At 40.8% G+C, this 19,113-nt stretch overlaps 1 long non-coding RNA gene across 1 annotated transcript; it reads right to left on the reverse strand.

The window, feature by feature from the left end:
* Positions 1-1,513: 1,513 nt before the first annotated feature.
* Positions 1,514-18,776, reverse strand: LOC105377142 (uncharacterized). The gene is made up of 3 exons (XR_940935.3): positions 18,675-18,776; positions 18,489-18,571; positions 1,514-1,730 (listed from the first exon to the last, which is right to left on the reverse strand). It is a non-coding gene; the product is annotated as an uncharacterized LOC105377142 (long non-coding RNA).
* Positions 18,777-19,113: the final 337 nt, after the last annotated feature.

A 19,113-nucleotide genomic window follows, 5' to 3' on the forward strand; every position in this document is an offset into this window, starting at 1 on the left:
TTTGCCCCCACCACCCCATTCCTCCCATGGGCTTCTTTGGCCTTCTCTCTTGCTGGTACATATGCAATTTTCTGTGCTCCAGTGATAGTTACCTATTTTGAGTTCTTAAATTTGCCACATTCTCTCCTCCAAGTCTTTGCACCCTCCTTTATCACTTCTGCTTCCATTGCATAATGTGTACTATCTTTTATGCTTTAGTTCATGAGTCACCTCCTCCGGGAAGCATTCTTTGACTCTCTCAGTTCAGGTTAGAATCCTTTGTACCACTTAGCATTCTATTAGTTGTAAGTAACAGATACTGATTAAAATGGTATTAAAACATGACAAGAAATATGGAGAGACACAGAGCTAGGATTAATTCTGTGATATAACAATATCAAGACTTGGATTCAACTTTTCTGCAGTTCTCTTGACTTTTGCCTCATGGTCACAAAATGGCTGCTGTAGTTCCAAATTATGGCCTCTGACAAAACAACCAAGATTAGGAAAAAAGTAAAATAACTTGTGTTGATATTACTCCTCAAGAAAAATCCTTCCCAGAAGTGTTTCAAAGATTTTCTCATACATCTCTCTGGCCAGAAGGGGCTTATATGTTCATGTCCTAGCTGCAATGGAGGCCAGAAAGTGAGAGTCTGGGATTTCCAGAGAAGGAGGTATTGCAAGTTTGGAAGAAATAGGATATGCGAGACTGTTGTGGAGGTCAAAAACAGGGCCTCCCTCTGAACTGCCACAGCCCCCGTTCCCACTATGGCTCATCATTATGTTGTATGTAGTAGTTTACTTGACTATATCCACTAGCCTACAAGCTTTGTTAGAGAAGGACAATTGTACTGGATGAATGAAAAAGAAACAGCGTTATTATCACCAACCCTTCTAATAACAAAAGTAACAAACTGAAATCACTTCAGTCTGTGAGTAGTAAGTCTTCACCGTGCAGAGGCTTCCTGGTGAGATCCTATCCGGTAAGACCTCAACCTCAGGGGCTACTATTGATGGACAAAACATAACAAAGTACAATTCCCAGGCCTCTACCAGGTGGTTAAACAAGGTGGGAATAGTGAAAGCAGAAAATTTGAGAACTGGTAGAAGCAGAACTTCACAGCTGAACTGGTCCGGTAGAGACCAAACAGGAATGTGTAAGACTGCGGATTTATTTTGGTTGCAAGAAACAGAAACTAACTAACCAGTTAGTTGAGACAATAAGGAACATTTTTACTCTGTCCATAACAAGAAGCCTCAAGGTAAGGCAGCTGAGGGTTAATTCTGTCTCGTCATCTATAGCTTGGCTTTCCCAGGGTTGCAAGGTGGCCACCATAGTTGCAACCTCTACATCAACAATGTTCGCAAGATGACACATTTCCCCAATGCCTCTTTTTAAGGGAACGTTTACCTTTTCCAGAAATCTCCAGAAGAATTTATTTCTCTTTGGGCAGCTCTGGGTTACATATTTATCTATAAAACAATCACTGGTATGTATAATGAGATAATCATAATTGAATTAAACCAAGCAATGTTTTCTTAATTACACACGGACATCCCAATTTTATTGTGTATAATGAAGAAAATCTTGTTCTCCTCCAAGGAAAAACAAAGGGAAGTGGAATGACTATTGGATAGGTAGCCAATGACATCTGTTACAAAAGGTTACCTTGGAACTAAGCAAATTCCAGTTTTCAGTGAGTAAGTCTTACAAGGCTGAATCTCAATCCACACCTGGCACTGCAAAAACCCTGCAAAGGAAAGAATAACCCAGGTTAGAACGTTTGTCAACTGGTTTCTTCTGCTTCTGTCTTATATAGAGATGCTTATCATTCTTCAGAATTCCTAGGACATGGATACAGAATAATCTACGACATTCACAACCTCTGGGTTACCTCTTTGCAGATGGGCCAGTTTTGTCATTTCTAAGCACCAGGATTCATGTATCCTGAGCTGTTTCAGGAAAGGAAGACACAGGCCCCCGTCTCTACGCCTGTGCTTTAGGTCTGAGCCTGCATCCTACTCATTGATATCTAAGCAGCATCTCCCTTTCTACCTTATCATTTAGAGGAAAACTTCCTTATTCCAGATATGGAACTCACTTTGGTTGTTCTCAAACTCTGAGGCAATATCTTCATTAAAAGTTTTAAGCCAAGAGAAGATGTTTCCCACCAGGTGGAAGCAAAACAGCTTCAGAATAGATCTTGGTCCAGCTGGTCTTAAGGGACAATTAGCGTTGTTTACTTTCCATGACCCAAGGCATGTCTAAGTTCAGGCCAGTAACTACTTCTAAGCTGGAACTTTACCCATGGACACCAAATTATTCTGCTGCCTAGTCATCTGGGTCCCTTTTATTAGATGTTTTGAGATTCTAAGTCCGGGCTCAGTGGACCAAATCTGGCCTGCCACCTGTTTTTTGTAAGTAAAGTTTTATTGGGACACGGCTGCACCCATTCATTTACATATCATCTATGGCTGCTTTTGATCTACAACTGCAGAGTTGAATAGTTTTGGCAGAGATCCTATGGCCTCCAGAGCGTACTGTCTGGGTCTTTGCAGAAAAGTTTGCTGACTTCTGTCCAAGGGGGAAAGAGCAAGTGAAAAGCATGAAGGTTCTAAGCGGGATAGATGCTCCAAATTCATACGTAAACACTAAGCAAAAGCTACAGAGATGCTAGAATGGGTTCAGATGGTTTGAAAGTCAGCACACTGGGTCAAGCTGGGTCTTACGAGGACTCTGCTCAGCCAGTGATATATAATGGGCACCTCACAGGGAGCTGAGCCAGTTCCATGTCTCCCTGGAAGAAGCATTGCACTTCACAAGTGTTTATGTTCTCAAATGTGAAACCTGGAGACGGTTTTCTAAATAGGACTTTAAATGCTCCAGTCTGGGTGTTTTTGCAATCTGACACACACATCCATTAGAGCTGCTCCATGGAGCCTCTGGACTGACCGTAAAAACTCAGCCACAGACCTCCTTGGTTTTCAAACAGGAGCCCAAGAAAGACCACAACAGAAACCTGTTTATACAGTTCAGGTTTTCTTAGTAACACAAGGCAGAGGTCAGACAAGTCTTAATCACTTGCTGTAAGAATTGATTTCTGCTGGAACCTAAGGCAGACAGACTTATCTGCTTAGGGTTGTGGTTTCTTATCCCTTCTTAATAAAAAAATAAATAAATAAAATAAAGCCATGGAAGATGGCTGGATGTGGTATCTCATGCCTGTAATCCTAGCACTTTGGGAGGCTGAGGCAGGTGGATCGTTTGAGCCCAGGAGTTTGAGACCAGCCTGGGCAACATAGTGAGACCCCATCTCTACAAAAAATAAACATAAACGAGCCAGGCATCGTGGTGTACATCTGTAGTCCCAGCTACTGGGGAGGCCAAGGTGGGAGGATCACTTGGGCCCAGGAGGTAGAGCCTGCAGTGAGCTGAGATTGTGCCACCTGTACTCTAGCCTGGGTAACAAAGAGAGTGCTTATCTCAAAAAAAAAAAAAAAAAGAAAGAAAAAAAGAAAAAGAAAAGAAGCCATGGAAGATAATATTAATCACTCTTGTTTTAGACACTGCGCTAAGCGTTTTATGTGCATTATCTTACTTAATCTTTACAATGCTCCCGTGAAGAAGGTACTATGCTATATGACCTCCTTTTTAGAGATGAGGAAGGTGAGGCCTAGCACAGAGTTCCTTGAGTCTGGTGAGCTTGTGAAAATGCAGATCACTGGCCCTACCCCAGGGATTCAGATTCAGCCTCTCTGGGGTGGGACCTGAGATTCTGCATCTCTAACAGGTTCTGAGGCTATGCCCATGCTTCCGGCCAGGGCTGCACTGAGCGCACTGGCCTAGAGTTTAAGGGAAAAGCTAACTCTCATGACCATTTGTGGCAGGATAAGCTCTCAAACCCAGGTTTGAGCATGTGACTTTTCATTCTTTTAATCAGTTTTCATAAACTGCCTCCCATGAGCTCCGAAAATAAGTGAGTGAAAGGCATTTAAACACACACCCAGGAAATCAGGTCAGAAACTCAGTGGTTGCTATTTCTAAAATGACCCAAATCTTTCTCAATTCGTGTCTCGAAATTTTGGCCATGTTGGGAAGTCATATTTGAACAATATATAACCACACAAGCATGTAAATAATTAAATTGGAACTTTGGCCTGGCCTAGAATAGTAGATCTGCTAATCTTCTCCAAATTATTAATTCTAAGAAGTCTTACCCAAACTAACCTTGCCTCCATGCTTTCTTAATGTACTCTCAGGACTTGAGAAAGAGATTGTTGCCACACAATGTTGCTCAATAGTTTCAGCTCTATACATCAGGCTTTCTCTTCTCATAAAGATCAGAAATTGCTTCAAGGGGTTATTTTCCCTGTCTTAACATCTTAATGCTGTATTGTGCCTGAGTAAACAATATTCAAAATGCTATATAGTATACAGAATATCTGGCAGTATGGCATAATGTTAAGAATGTGGGTTTTGCATTCAAACTTTGAATTCACATACAGGCAATGCCACTTACTGTGTGGTTAAGTTCCTAAACTAAGTCTGTTTTCTTATTAGTAAAGTGGAGACCAAAATACCCCTATAAAGTTGTTATATCACATGTAAAGCACTCAGCCATGACATATGGAGAGGCCTAAAAATGTGAATTACAAATTATTGTGTAATTTATTATATATACAATTAGATCATATAAGTATATATTTATATCTTACAATTATATATTGTTACTGTAGTAACATAATTACCTTACTACTATATTAATGTAAAATTAATTATATAGAAGAATCATTATATTAATATTAACCAATATATTATTGATGTAGATTAATATTGATATATAATGTATATTATATATAATTATTTATAATTGTAATATTTTATAATTGTAAACTTTGTTTAAGCTCTAGAAAAATGTGTTGACTAAATGCATCTTTCTTTGTTGCTTTTTTTTAAGACAGAGTCTAGCTCTGTTGCCCAGGCTGGAGTGAGGTGTCAACATCTCAGCTCACTACAACTTCTACCCCCTGGGTTTAAGCAATCCTCCTGCCTCAGCCTCCCAAGTAGCTGGGATTACAGGTGCACACCACCACGCCCAGCTAAGTTTTGTATTTTTAGTAGAGAGGGGGTTTCACCATATCAGCCAGGCTGGTCTCAAACTGCTGGCCTCAAGTGATCCTCCCACCTCAGCCTCCCAAAGTGCTGGGATTACAGGCAGGAGCCACCACACCCGGCTTAAATGCATCTTTGAATCTAGTCAGTTTTAGCTGAAGAAACACACAGCCGTGGATATGTTAGTCAATTAATGTTAGCTGCAGACAAGGCTGTAGTAAAGAAGGTTCCAGGCTTACTGGCACATATCCCTTTGCTAAGATTATTTTCCTTCTGGAATAACCTCTTCTTCACTTTTTGCCTATCCATTCTTCAAGTCTTTCCTCTGCTATGAGGCCTTCACAGATGAAGCTCATACTCTCTCATGTCCATGAACACAACACCATTTGGTCAATTCCACAGATGAATTTATACTCCCTTCAATTTTTTCCTGTGTACAGCCTTGTTCTCCCAGCCAGAATATATTCTCCTTGAGAGCAGTTATTCATGTCTGACTTGTTTTGTACCTGCCAGACTACTCGGTAAGTACTTGAATACAAGCACGGGAAAAAACAATAAATTTAAATATATTTATTGAAAAGAAGCAGGGTCTAAATTGTGATGCAAACATGTTAAGCCCTTGCAGAATAATCATTAGTTCTATTTTGCAAAATAACATTGCATTCAAACCACTACAAGTACAAAGCATGGTTGGGCTTTATAGCTCTAAAGAGGCTAGACAGAGAAATAATGAGGCCATTCTACTGTACTGCCCACAGCAACAACACGATTTGGCATACACTGGAGACTGGTGGTATAAACATTTCTTAGTCCAGATCTTAAAAGGGACTGTAATCCTAAACTCACCTCTCCTTTAACAAAGTTATTATGTTTTGGCATTAGGCTAGATTAAAATATCATATGAATTGAGCAGCTGAAGCTTGGATCTGGTAAAGGGGGACATTAGGGTGATGCTCTGGGAAGCACAATGAACTAAAAACCTACTGGTAGACAAGGTTTTGTATTTTAATTCGAACACTTGGCTCCTTATGTAGAGAATTTTCAACTAACTTGAAAAATTGCTGTTGAGACAGGAGCCTGGAACATCTGATGGCAGTGGTTATGTGTTCACGGAAAAATCAACACTACCCCCTGGACTGATGTAATCACGTTGCTTAGAGTCACTTGAATCAGGATCTGCTGACCCATCTTACTTTTTTGCCCGTAGTGGTGGAAGAGAGAAGTTTCACTGTATGTGACAACTGACAAGTAGGGAGGTGCTTCTCAAACTTTAACATGCACGCAAACCACCTAGGGATATTGTTAAAATGTAGATTATGATTCATTAAGTCTGAGGCAGGACCTCGGAGTCTACATTTCTAATATCTCAGGTGATATTAACATTCCTAGTCCAAGGACTGCGCTTTGAGCAGCAAGTAGGTAGAGGATGCGGGAATAGTTAATACATTGCTGCATACACCAACCAGCCTCGATGCAATGAGGAGGCATCTGCGCTGTTTTAAGGGGGATGTGTATTAGTCTGTTTTCATACTGCTGTGAAGAAATAGTGGAGACTGGGTAATTTATAAACAAAAAAAAAGGTTTAATGGACTCACAGTTCCACGTGGATGGGGAGGCCACACAAATCATGGCAGAAGGCGAAGGAGGAGCAAAGGCATATCTTACATGGCGGCGGGCAAGAGACGTGCCAAGCCAAAGTGGGAAAAGCCCCTTATAAAACCTTCAATCTCATGAGAACTTACTATCAGGAGAACAGCAGCATGGGGGTAACTGCCCCCATGATTCAATTACCTCCAGCTGGGTCCCCCCCATGACACAAGGGGAAAATGGGAACTACAATTCAAGATGAGATTCAGGTGGGGACACAATCAAAGCCTATCAGGATGGAAACATGAACCTTCTAGAAATGAAGATCAGGGAGGAATTCAGTAGACTTTACAATGAGCATCATATCTAGCATCCTTTGTCAGAGACATCAGGTTCACTAGCCCAAAGGACACTCTTTCCTTTCTAAATCTTCAAAGTAGTGACTTTAGAGAAGTAGCTAGTTAAAAGGATGGCAAAAGAGTGCTACTACAGGCAGTGCACATGAGCCTGGAGTCAGACAGCCTAGCTCTGACTCCCAGACCTGCCACACAGTCATCGGCTGTGATCTTCGGAAAGGCGACTTTTCTCCCTAAGCCTCAGTTCACATAACTGGAAAGCAGAGATAATACTCGTAGGGCTGTTGTGAAGACCCCAGAAGGAACACATATAAAGCACTTCATTCTATGCATGGTGCATACTAGTCAATACATCCAAGTAATTTTTTTAAAAAAATTAGAAAACCAATCAATCAGTCAAGAGTGATTGAGTACTTGTTTGTTGGACACTGTCTTGAGGCAGTCCTAGGGAAGAAAGAGTAAGGAAGAGAGAATTAAGAAGAGGAGAAGGAGACACAATCACAGGTCTCAAGTAAATCCCAGAATATACGTGGAGAGGCAAACACATACGCATGTGGAATTATTTAGTATTTCCACAGCAACACGCCAAGACACATCACAAATAGAGTTATAGAGCACACATAAGCCATTTGAAGAAAGCAAATGTTTAAAATGATATCACTGGAGACAGGAAACTGAAGGAGTCCCTAGACAAAGTCAGAGCTGTATTAAGTTTCTTTTTTTAATGTTTCATTTTTCAGCAGGATATTGACAAGAGCTGCTGTCATATGGAAACTATTTTTTAGAAACACCTGGAAGAACTAATTTGGGGGATTGAATTTTTTTTCTTTAACACAGGCTTAACATATAACAAAATACAAGGTGTGTCTGAGATGCAAACCTGGTAAGAGATTAGATCATCAAAGCTAAATTACCTTAATTTCCATATTATTTCTGAGAATAGCTTGAATAGACCTTTTGGGTCACAAGCCACCATTTGTGAAGAACTCATAGACATTTTTGTAAGGCTCACAATATTCAAAAGGCTATTTTGATATTTTTCTCATAAAGACATCTCTGCAAAAAAAAAAAAAAAAAAAATCAAAAGAAGACCAGGAGCAGTGGCTCACGCCTATAATACCAGCACTTTGGGAGGCCGAGATGGGTGGATCATGAGGTCAGGAGTTCGAGACCAGCCTGGCCAACATGGTGAAACCCTGTCTCTACTAAAAATACAAAATTAGCTGGGCGTGGTGGCATGCGCCTGTAATCCCAGCTACTCTCGAGGCTGAGGCAGGAGAATCGCTTGAACCTGGGAGGCGGAGCTTGCAGTGAGCCGAGATCACGTCACTGCACTCCAGCCTGGGTGACAGAACAAGACTCCGTCTCAAAAAACAAACGAAAAAAAAAAAACCACCATAAAACCAATTTAACACTTACTGGTCTAGAAAAATCAGATCTGTTCATATACATGGGTAAAATGGTTTTTAGCTATCCAAAACTACAATTTTTATTCGTGGCATGTGTGAGTGCTGTACAATTCACATAAATCCCATATTTGATTCTCACAAGAAACGTAAGACACAAGGACTATTATCACTTCCACTTTATGGATGGTGACATTGAAACGTAGAGACGTGTAGTAACTTGCCTAAAGTTGCACAGCTAGGAAAAGATGTAGCTGGAATTTGAACTAAGGATTTATGTTGTTAAATCTACTTTCTCTACTATTCTTACCATAGAGCTGTATTTAGCTTCATAAGTGTTTGTTTTGGGGGAAGGTTGCATGTTTCTGATTTATCTTTCAAGAATATTTGCCCAAATCAGTGACTGGACCCAAAAAAAGAGCTGGGATTATGTCTTCGTGAGCTCAATGGATACATAAGAATGCTCTTTTTCAACAGCAGGCACATGCGATCTCTATTTGACCACCTTAATGTGATTCTCCCTAGACAAACTCTTTCCTCTTTATTTTTATTTCTGTCTCCCATACACATTTTCTCAGAGAACAACCCAGTTTACCACAAGCCTGAATGTTGGTGCAAGAGCGTATCTAGAAAGACCCAATATTTGAGAGACTTCATTCTATTTTCCCATCTCCACGTAAGAGACCAGAATGTCAATGTCATGGTGGAGATGGAGGTGAATAGGGGTGTGGTCCCTGTCTATACCTCCAGCAAGTTATGTAATCAATCATGACCCCCAAGATTTGTGACCTTCTTAAGGAAATGATGATGCCCTTCTCATCATTGTACCTTCTAGCACAGTGCCTAGTAGAGAATCCTCAAAAACGATTGGATGGAAACTTGGGCCAGTGTGGATCACTAGAACTTCTGCAGTGATGGAAACATTTATTATTTGCATTGTCCAATATGGTAACCTCTAGTCGCAGGTGACTACTAAGTGCTTGAATTAATGGCTGCTAAGGAACTTATTTTAAATTTTTATTTTAATTTAATCAATTTTTAAATTTGAATAGACCCATGTGACTAGTGGCTACTGTACTGGACAGCCCAGTCCTAGGCTATAAAATCAGGAAAATAATTCCCCATCTGTTTATCTTACAGCTTGTGGTGAGGAATACATGAAATAATGAATAAATTAAAGATAGTATCATATGAGGAAATCAGATGGTTTGGTTTAAATCCCAGTTCCATTACCTTCTATCTCTGTGACCCTTGACAACTTTATTTAACTTCCCTGAGCCTCAGTTTTCTTATGTGAAAAATGGATTTAATGATAACTACCTTTTACAGGGTAGTTAAGTGGATTAAATAATAGGTATGAAAAGCCTAGCACATCACTTGACAGACAGAAAGTGCTCAACAAACTATTTTTAAAAATGAGGGTATTTTGGAATGCACAGAGCTCTGTATAGGGGCGATATATGATTATTAGCAGAAAATGACAGGACCCGTGTTTGCTCCCCTAAACTGTGTCTTCTTCTCTGGAGAGGACATGGCTGTGTTGGCTTCTCCCTTTTCACAGCCACTTTTTGGTCATATACTAGATAGCTCACAAATATCTGATGCTTTAGATGCATCCCTGAAATAATTCTCTGCTCCTGGAATAGCTTGGCTTTCCTGGAGTGACATGCATGCTGTCCCTGTGCCACCGAGGAGGTCAGGATGAGGTCTGCTCCCAGGTCTCCTCTGCCTGCCTCCTGACACTGAAACTTTGCAGAGAACAACTTTGTCTAGACAAGCAGTGGCTCGTCTGGCTGCTGCAGCAGCTAGCATCCTCATTGTTTCTCTCTGTGTTGGCTGCAAATTCCTTTTTCTGTTTATCCCCTCAGGAGCCTAGGCTCTGGGAGTGTAGCATGGGGGTTGGAGGGAGAAAAAGCAGACGTTCCCAAGACTGTCATTGCCATGGGCACCAGCCATGTTTGTGGTGCTGTTACTGATATGGCCCAGAGATGGCATGAACATCAAGTTGTCAAGGACAGCCTACTGGTTCTAGTTACTGAAGCTACCACCAATGTTTTACAGTGGATTCCCTGCCAGCCACCAGACTGGGAAACTTCAAATTGTTTAAAAGAGGCACCTCCTATCCCCCAGCCTGATGCTGGAGCAAGAGAGCTACTCACAGTGCCTGAAATATATCCTGGTTCTCATTTTTCCTCTGCTCTTAACTCTACCCAGAGACCATCGTGCAGATCTATTCTGCAGGTGGGAAATGGAGGCAGAGCAGAACAGACTCGCAGACTTCGATCATTCCTTCAACGAACAGTTGCTGAGGGCAACAATCCCAAGTGCTGACTGTTGCAGAGCGAGTCTAGAAGCCAATCCCTTGGAATCTTAATATATATTGGCTTGTGGCCGGGCGCGGTGGCTCACATCTGTAATCCCAGCACTTTGGGAGGCCGAGGCAGGCGGATCACGAGGTCAGGAGATCAAGACCATCCTGGCTAACACTGTGAAACCCTGTCTCTAATAAAAATACAAAAAATTAGCCGGGCGTGGTTGTGGGCACCTGTAGTCCCAGCTACCAGGAGGCTGAGGCAAGAGAATGGTGTGAACCCGGCAGGCGGAGCTTGCAGTGAGCCGACATTGTGCCACTGCACTCCAGTCTGTGCGACAGAGCGAGACTCCATCTCAAAAAAATATATATATAGATATATATATATGTGTGTGTGTGTGTGTGTGTGTGTGTGTGTATACATATATAGATTTGTTTATTTACAATCTGCCCCTGCCAATAGAATGTGAGCTCGTGGAGCTCGTGGAGCCCAAGGATTTTGTCTACCACTGTAACCCTAAAGCATGGCATGTAGATAATCCTTAATCAATATTTGTTGAATAAATGAAGGACTACTCTTTCCTCATCGATGAGTCTTTTAAACAAAACATGTACTTAGAAAGCCCGTGACTATAGCTCTTCTTCCAAAAGTACCAGCTCTATTGATGTGGCAAACACATTGACTCACTGACTCAATATTTGATAATCATTTCCCTCCTTCCTTCCATCCCTTCCTTTCTTTCCTCCATTCTTCTCTTGCTCACTTTTTCATTCATGTAATATTTATTGAACATCTATGATTGGCAAGGCACTCTGTAGTGTACATCAATAACACAGAGCCTTCAACACATTTGTCTTTGCTTATCTAGTGTGTTTGGAAAAAAAGAAAAAACAGAAATAGAGACCTTTCTGTTGTGTGAAGGATGAAGATTTATTGGTGCTTGGAGAAATTGTTGAAAGATGGAATTAAAACTAGAGACACAAGTTGAACTAGGCAGTTTACAGCGACATCCTGAAAATCACCTAAGGGAAAAATTGTAAGGCTGGAAGGGAAGATATAGTCTTACTGTGATGTTTTCATGGTAGGAATATTTCCTGGACTAAATCACAGGTTTAAAACACACAACACAAATCCATTCTACTGCAAAGACAAACTTAAGTTCATACGATGTCAGCTGGCAGTATAAATAGTCTGGAATCTGGGGTGACAAAGATACAGAGTACATTGGTCTAAAGCAAGGGTCAGCAAACTATGGCTCATGGACCAAGACTGGCCCACAACCCATTTTTGTAAATAAAGTTTTATCGGAAGGCAGTCATGTTCATTTGTTTATAAATTGTCTATGGCTGCTTTTGTGCTGCCACAGCAGACTTGAATAGTTGTGACAGAGACCATATGACCTGCAGAGCCAAAAACATTTACTCTCTGGACTTCTATAGAAATTTACTGATTTTGGTCCAAAGCAAAGATCCTCTCATGCCAAATGAGATTCTTTAAAAGAAAACAAGTCTGGACACGGTGGCTCATGCCTCCCTCACTTTGGGATGCCGAGGTGGGTGGGTCACCTGAGATCAGTGAGTCTCTCACTGAGGTCATGAGTTCAAGACCAGCCTGACCAACATGGTGAAACCCCGTCTCTACTAAATACAAAAAATTAGCCGGGCATGGTGGTGTATGCCTGTAATCCCAGCTACTCGGGAGGCTGAGGCAGGAGAATCGCTTGAACCTGGGAGGCAGAGGTGGAAGTGAGTCGAGATTGTGCCACTGTACTCCAGCCTGGGCGACAGAGCAAGACTCTGTCTCAAAAAATAAATAAATAAATAAATAAATAAAACAAAATAAAATAAAACAGTCCTCACATTTAGCTTGGTATATTGATGTTTATACACCTGCTTTCCCTACCAATGAAAAGCAGTCCACAGTTCATATCATTACATCATCAACCCCAATATGTTATTGTTCTCTCTTTCTGCAATAGGGCTACTAAGCTAATGATCTGAGATAACTTTCCATAAGTGAAATACTGAACGGTCAAAGTATTTTTACTCTAGGCTTCCCAGACCACTGCCCTTTTGTTGTCTCATGCCAGAGCTGGATAAATAATCAGATCAATTCATGTTTGCATTGAGGCTTGATTTGGCATACGGCAGCCTTATAACTGAAGATTTCTTCACCTGTGCTTGCTTTGTGGTTACAGATCTCAAAATGCCCATAAACTTGATTAAACTTGTCCCTTGTATGCCTCCTCATTTCACATGCAGATTGTTTGTGATTCCGAGTTACATAATTCTCAGTTTCTCAATAAAGCAACCAGCAGGTGGTATGCCTTTTTGTTTGAAGAGTTACCTCCCTGTGTAAAAATGTGGAGCCAGGTGTCTCTCACTGAGTTCAACGGATCCAAGCATTTAGACCTCCTAGGACTTTCTTAAAACCTAGCCCTGATTTTTTTTTTCATGTAAAATAAATATTTTGAAAGAGGGACCAAAGCATTTGATCATTCTCTCTTCAGTTACTGCAATGCAAAAACTGAAAAATGGGATCCTTTTCGCTGTTCTGGTAATAAGACCTTAGTGAAAGATAATCATTTAAACAGCAGTTTCCAGATACACATTTACTATAATCCTCACAATCCAATAGAGTTATTTTTACGCTTTTACAAATGAGTAAAGTGATGCTCAGAGTTCCAGTAATTTACCTAAGGACACACAGCGATTAAGATAGAGGGTCCAAACCTATACTCTTTCTACTCTGCTATTCTTCCCAAGAAAGGCATGGAAATAAGGACTACAGAGTTCTCTGTGATCATTACCTACAGAAATGGTGGATTTCTCTACATTTCTTATAGTCCAGTAGGTACAGAACCCTATTACTAATGAAAGTTGGTTTACCTAATCTTAACTAGTATGCAATGACCAATTATTTTTGTTGTTATTTCAAATGAAAATGAAGATGGTGGACATTTGGAAGGTGATGGTAGAATATAGAAGAAAGAATAAATTAAATTTCATTTTCACTGGAGAAGCACTATAAAGGAATAAGCTAGATCTGAATGAGAAGGTGAGGCATAGTCAAAGTTACCTTTAAGAACACAAACGTACTTAGGGAGGCTGAGGCAGGAGGATTGCTTCATCTCAGGCATTGGAGACTAGCCTGGGCAACATAGCGAGATCCTGTCTCTACAAAAAACTGAAAAACTAGCCAGATGTGGTGGCATGTGCCTTAGTCCTAGCTACTCAGGAAGCTTAGGTGGGAGGATTGCTTCAGCTTGGGAGTTTGAGACCAGCCTAGGCTACATAGGGAGAACCTGTTGCTACAAATAATGATAATAACAATAACAAGCCAGGCATGGAGGAGTGCACCTGTAGTCCAAACTACTTGGGAGGCTGACGCAGGAGGATTGCTTGAGCCCAGGAATTCAAGGCTGCAGTGAGCTATGATCATGCCCCTGCACTCTAGCCTAGGCTAAAGAGCAACACCTTCTCTCTAAACACACACACACACACACACACACACACATACACACAAGCAAACATTTTTTAAGACAAGGAATGTTTATTAATTGACTCTTACCTAAAGCTTGTTGATAGCTTTTCTATAAAGCCCCTCCTGTCCTGTTATCCCTGTTGCCTGTTTTCTCATTCATTCACCCATTTATTGAGTGCTGACTAAAGGCCAGGCTTTATGTGAGATCTTGGGACTATCAGGACAATATGGCCTGTATTTGCTCTCTGGAATCTTGAATTTAGGGCCTCCATGTTGAAACCATCCTCCTCATTTCCCCACTGATGAAGACAAAGAAGGCTAGATGAAGAACTACTGAAATACAAACACAAACAGCATGGCACATAGAGAGAAGCTTGTCCCTCACTTTGAAGTTTTATCCTAGAGATTTTCCACAGGACATCTCTTTCTGTCTCATCATGGGCTCTTTCTTATCTCCTGAGCCCTTAAAACCACAACTCCAAGTTCAGCTTCTTTTGATCTGCGGGGATATAGGTTAAGAAAGAGATGGGGAGTAGCTGCTTATTTCAGCTTCCCAGGCAACCCAAAGGCAGGGAGAAGACGCAGAAATAAAATATTGCTGCAGCAAGTTAAACCTGCACTCTCCCTTCTAGGCAGTCATCCTCATTTAAGGGTCCTAGGAAGATTGGGGTCAGTGAAGATGATATCCTAAACATCCAATTCTCATTAATAACTGAGACCATTTTATTAATCCATTCTTTAAAACCTTTAAAAACGTATATTTTAAAAATAATACATGCTGATAGAATGCACAACACCAAGAGTGGACCCTGATGTAAACTATGGACTTTAAGTGATAATGATGTGTCAATGTAGGTTCATTGATTGAAACAGATGTACCACTCCAATGGGAATACTGGCGGTGGCGGAGGCTGTGCATGGGGCAGTTTGGTAGAGGGTATATGGGAACTCTCTCTACCCTCTGCTTAATCTTGCTGTGAACCTAAAACTGCTCTTTAAAAAGTCTATTTTTCAAATGTCATACACATTCATAGGCTCATTATAAGAACTTTAAAAAGTTGTAGGAGAATACAAAGAGAAAGGTAAAAATCACCCAGCATTCTTCCAACCCTAATGTGAGATGAGTAGGATTAATGATTTAGTAAACATCGGCTGGGTGCAGTGGCTCACATCTGTAATCCCAGCACTTTGGGAGGCCGAGGCGGGTGGATCACAATGTCAGGAGATCGAGACCATCCTAGCTAACACGGTGAAACCCCGTCTCTACTAAAAAAATACAAAAAATTAGCTGGGCATGGTGGTGGGCGCCTATAGTGCCAGCTACTCGGGAGGCTGAGGCAGGAGAATGGCGTGAACCCGGGAGGCGGAGCTTGCAGTGAGCCCACATCGAGCCACTGCACTACAGCCTGGGCGACAGATCGAGACTCCACCTCAAAAAATAAATAAATAAATAAATAAAATAAAATAAAATAAAATGATTTAGTAAACATCTCCCAAGGTTTCTCTGACCTTACCCATACGTGTACAAATTTCCATAAACAGGGATCATGTGTTTGTCTATTTGTGTTTCACTCAGCATGTTTTCCTGTCTATTAGTATTGATCCACATGGTTTTTAATAAGTTCATAGTATTGCAGACATAAATGTGCCATAATGTACCAAATCATTCTCTTATTTGATAGCCACTTTGGATTTTTGCTCATACAAATAATGTGACATGAATGTTTCTGAACATAAACCTCTTGCCTATTCCAATATTCTTTGAATCTGTGTATCTTCCCAGTCCCTAGCATGTTTTGGAGAATGTTCTGAACTAAATATTCTTAATATGAATGTGAGGTGGTTCTTCTTTACACAAAGTACACATCTAGGCAGAGGATCTTTATTAATTCTACTTCTGACACTCCTATTGGAGAAAAAAGAGGAAGAAGATTTGACTGTGTGATCACATCTGTAATGTCTTTAGTCAGGGCCTTGCACATAGTATGTGCTCAATAAATAATAGCTGTGACTATTATTGTTGTTGATGTTATTTCTTTTGCTTGGTCCAAGTGTCCTTCCTGAAAAAGACCTGAACACGGCATAGGGTGACCTGAACAACAGAAAATGTGAAGAAAACTACATTTGTAGTCACTAAAAGTTTCTGACTCTGGCTGTAATTGTCAGTTGTAGAAACAACTAATCACCCAGAGAATGCAGTTCACTCAAGCATCCTCTTTAGACATACAGTGCAATGGCTGTGAAACGGAGACACAGACCACATGTTCCATGGAAGCCATGATAATGATCAGATATATTTACTCATTTGTGATGAAGAAAGGGAGCACAATTTTTCTGGCTTTTGACACATTATTATCTCGGTTCCAACTTTCTTATCCCAAGGAAATAGTAAGACATGTTGGACTTTTATCAATGGCATTCCCTGTCAGATCCTGTGGGCTACCACTCCATGTTGGATCACTCCCAGAGCCTTCCACAAAAGCCTCTAAAACTGTCTGCTTTAAACCCTTCAATTATAAAGCAGTTAAAAAAACAAAACCCTCAGACATAACTGCTTCTGCCTAAATCTACCATGCTGTTTGTAAGACTGTATGTTTATGATATGATTTTGAACATCATCTTCAGGAAAAAATTCTTACTGGTTTATGCTCAGATTTATGGGTCTATTCTTTGCCCCAAGGTGAGATGAAAGCAAAATCAATAAGGTTAGTTTTGGATTGCTTGAAGTAAGTAACACAAGCCAATTTTCAGTAACCTCAGATCAGTGAAGTAGGAGAAAATTAGATAAAGAGAGAAAAATCAAGAGGGCACGCTTGTGTCTCTAGGCACATCATTTGTGTCGATGACAGAATTCATTTAAAAATTATAAGCAATCGTGTTTTAGTAGCATTAGAGAAAACAGCATAGGTTGTATTAAATTTGATACTAGAAGTACTAGAAATAACAACAAAAATGTTTTGCCCTGGCACCTCCCTGACCCCCAATCAGTAACCAGCCTCATTAGTCATGGCACCTCTCACATGAGGCCCCTATCACCGCTTTCATAAATATAGTAAGATTCTCTGAATCAAAATCCTGTGTTGTCTCAAAAAATAATTATAAATAATAATTATGATTATCATTTATTGAGCACCTATTGAGTACCTGGCACCGTACTAGGTCCTTTGCACATATGAGTCAATAAAAATTTACTGAGAGCCTACTATGTGCCAGGCATTATTCTCCATGCTAAAGATACAGCAGTGAACAAGTTACACAGAGTTCCTGCTTTCTGAAGGCTTCCAGTCTGAGACAATCAATGAGCTTATGAACAAACAAACAAAGATAGTAAGTGCTATGTAGAAAACTGAAATAGGGCAACATGATAGAAAGAGATTGGGTGGTCTCTGAAGGCAGTATATTTAAGCTGAAATCTTAATAAAAGGAGGAGCTACCCCATTGGGGATGAGTGGGGAGAATTTAATCCTCTTGACAATCCTATCAGTCCTATTCCACAGAGGAGGAAAATGAAACTCAGAGGGGCTAGATCACTTCTCCATAGCAGGCCTGCGATACACAGACTGCTCCCAGTTTACAAATGCCTCTCTAAAGAACTCACACTGAGTGTGGGCTGCCACAAGGCGGGAGGGAAATGGAGAAGACAGGTGATTTGGGACATGTAACCTCAGAGTTTATTATTTCAGGTGCAACCAGCCTGAGTGAAATAAATTTGGAGAGGGAGAGGGAGCTGACTTTTTGGTGAGCATCCAAAGAGCTGGTCTTGTTGGAGAATAGGGAATGCCCAGCATCCACATGAGCAAGGCCAGGCCAGTGTTTGATCCTGGCTCTCTTGGGGCTGCCACCTTTCATTTCCATCGCTGGAGGTAGATGCTGAACATCACATTTAAAATCAATCTCCTCAAGAGAAGCAAACTGTGAAAAGCTTTTTGGGGGTGCCATGACCTGCTTACTTTGGCTCATTAGCTTATCATTGCAAAATATGAAAAAAAATTTCATTGGACTCCAAGTCTCACATATTCTGGACTTGCTGGCCAACCCTGCCTTCTTTCGGGGGTGTCTCTGTTTTCTGCAAGCTTCTGATCAGGGATTTATGATGACTTAGATGACCACTTCAGAGCGGGAACTTGTGTTTTTAAAATAATCTTTGTATCATCCATGTCTACTTGAGGATTGGGTATAGAATGGTTTCTCCTCACATTCTGAATACGTGGATGAGTGAATCCAGGTTCCAGCAGGAATGAGAGGCACGTACCCCTTCAGTCTCCTCATGCATGTCTCATGACTGGCCACAATTCCCAAGGTGATGATTTAGTTCCTTTCGAGGGTGACTGCTTCCTATTAAGACACAAGGAATGGCCTCCATTTGTTGTCTGTGTATTAAAAATAAATACATAGGCAGGAAGATTATCCTTTATAGACCACAGTTACACATTCTTACCTAATCCTCATTTCTTGATTTGGCGAATCATCGTACTTTGAGGATCTGGGACTCCCGCATTATGGAATCTAGGCTTCTTCATCTCCTTCTTCTGGAGTCAATCTGCTTTCATAAAAGGGAGATCATTCCTGTTTTCATAATAGGTAATACCCAAGTACTGTAACCTGGTAGTCCTCAAAATGGCTCTGTAGCTTATATATGTGCATGAGTATGTCTGTGGGGATGTGTGTGACTATATGTGACAGTGTGTGAGTATATGTGACAGTGTGTGGTTATGAGCTTGATAAAAATGAAGATATCTGGATGCCATCTCAGTACTACTTAACCTCAGTTCCTAGCAGGGATTGGGGGACAGATATCTATATTTTAATAAGCACTGCATGTAATTCTTAAACACATTCAAGTTTGAGAATCTGGTCCAGGAGAGTGGTTTTCAACA

The sequence above is a fragment of the Homo sapiens genome, chromosome 3 (genome assembly GCF_000001405.40).
Source record: "Homo sapiens chromosome 3, GRCh38.p14 Primary Assembly".
Lineage (NCBI taxonomy): Eukaryota > Metazoa > Chordata > Mammalia > Primates > Hominidae > Homo > Homo sapiens.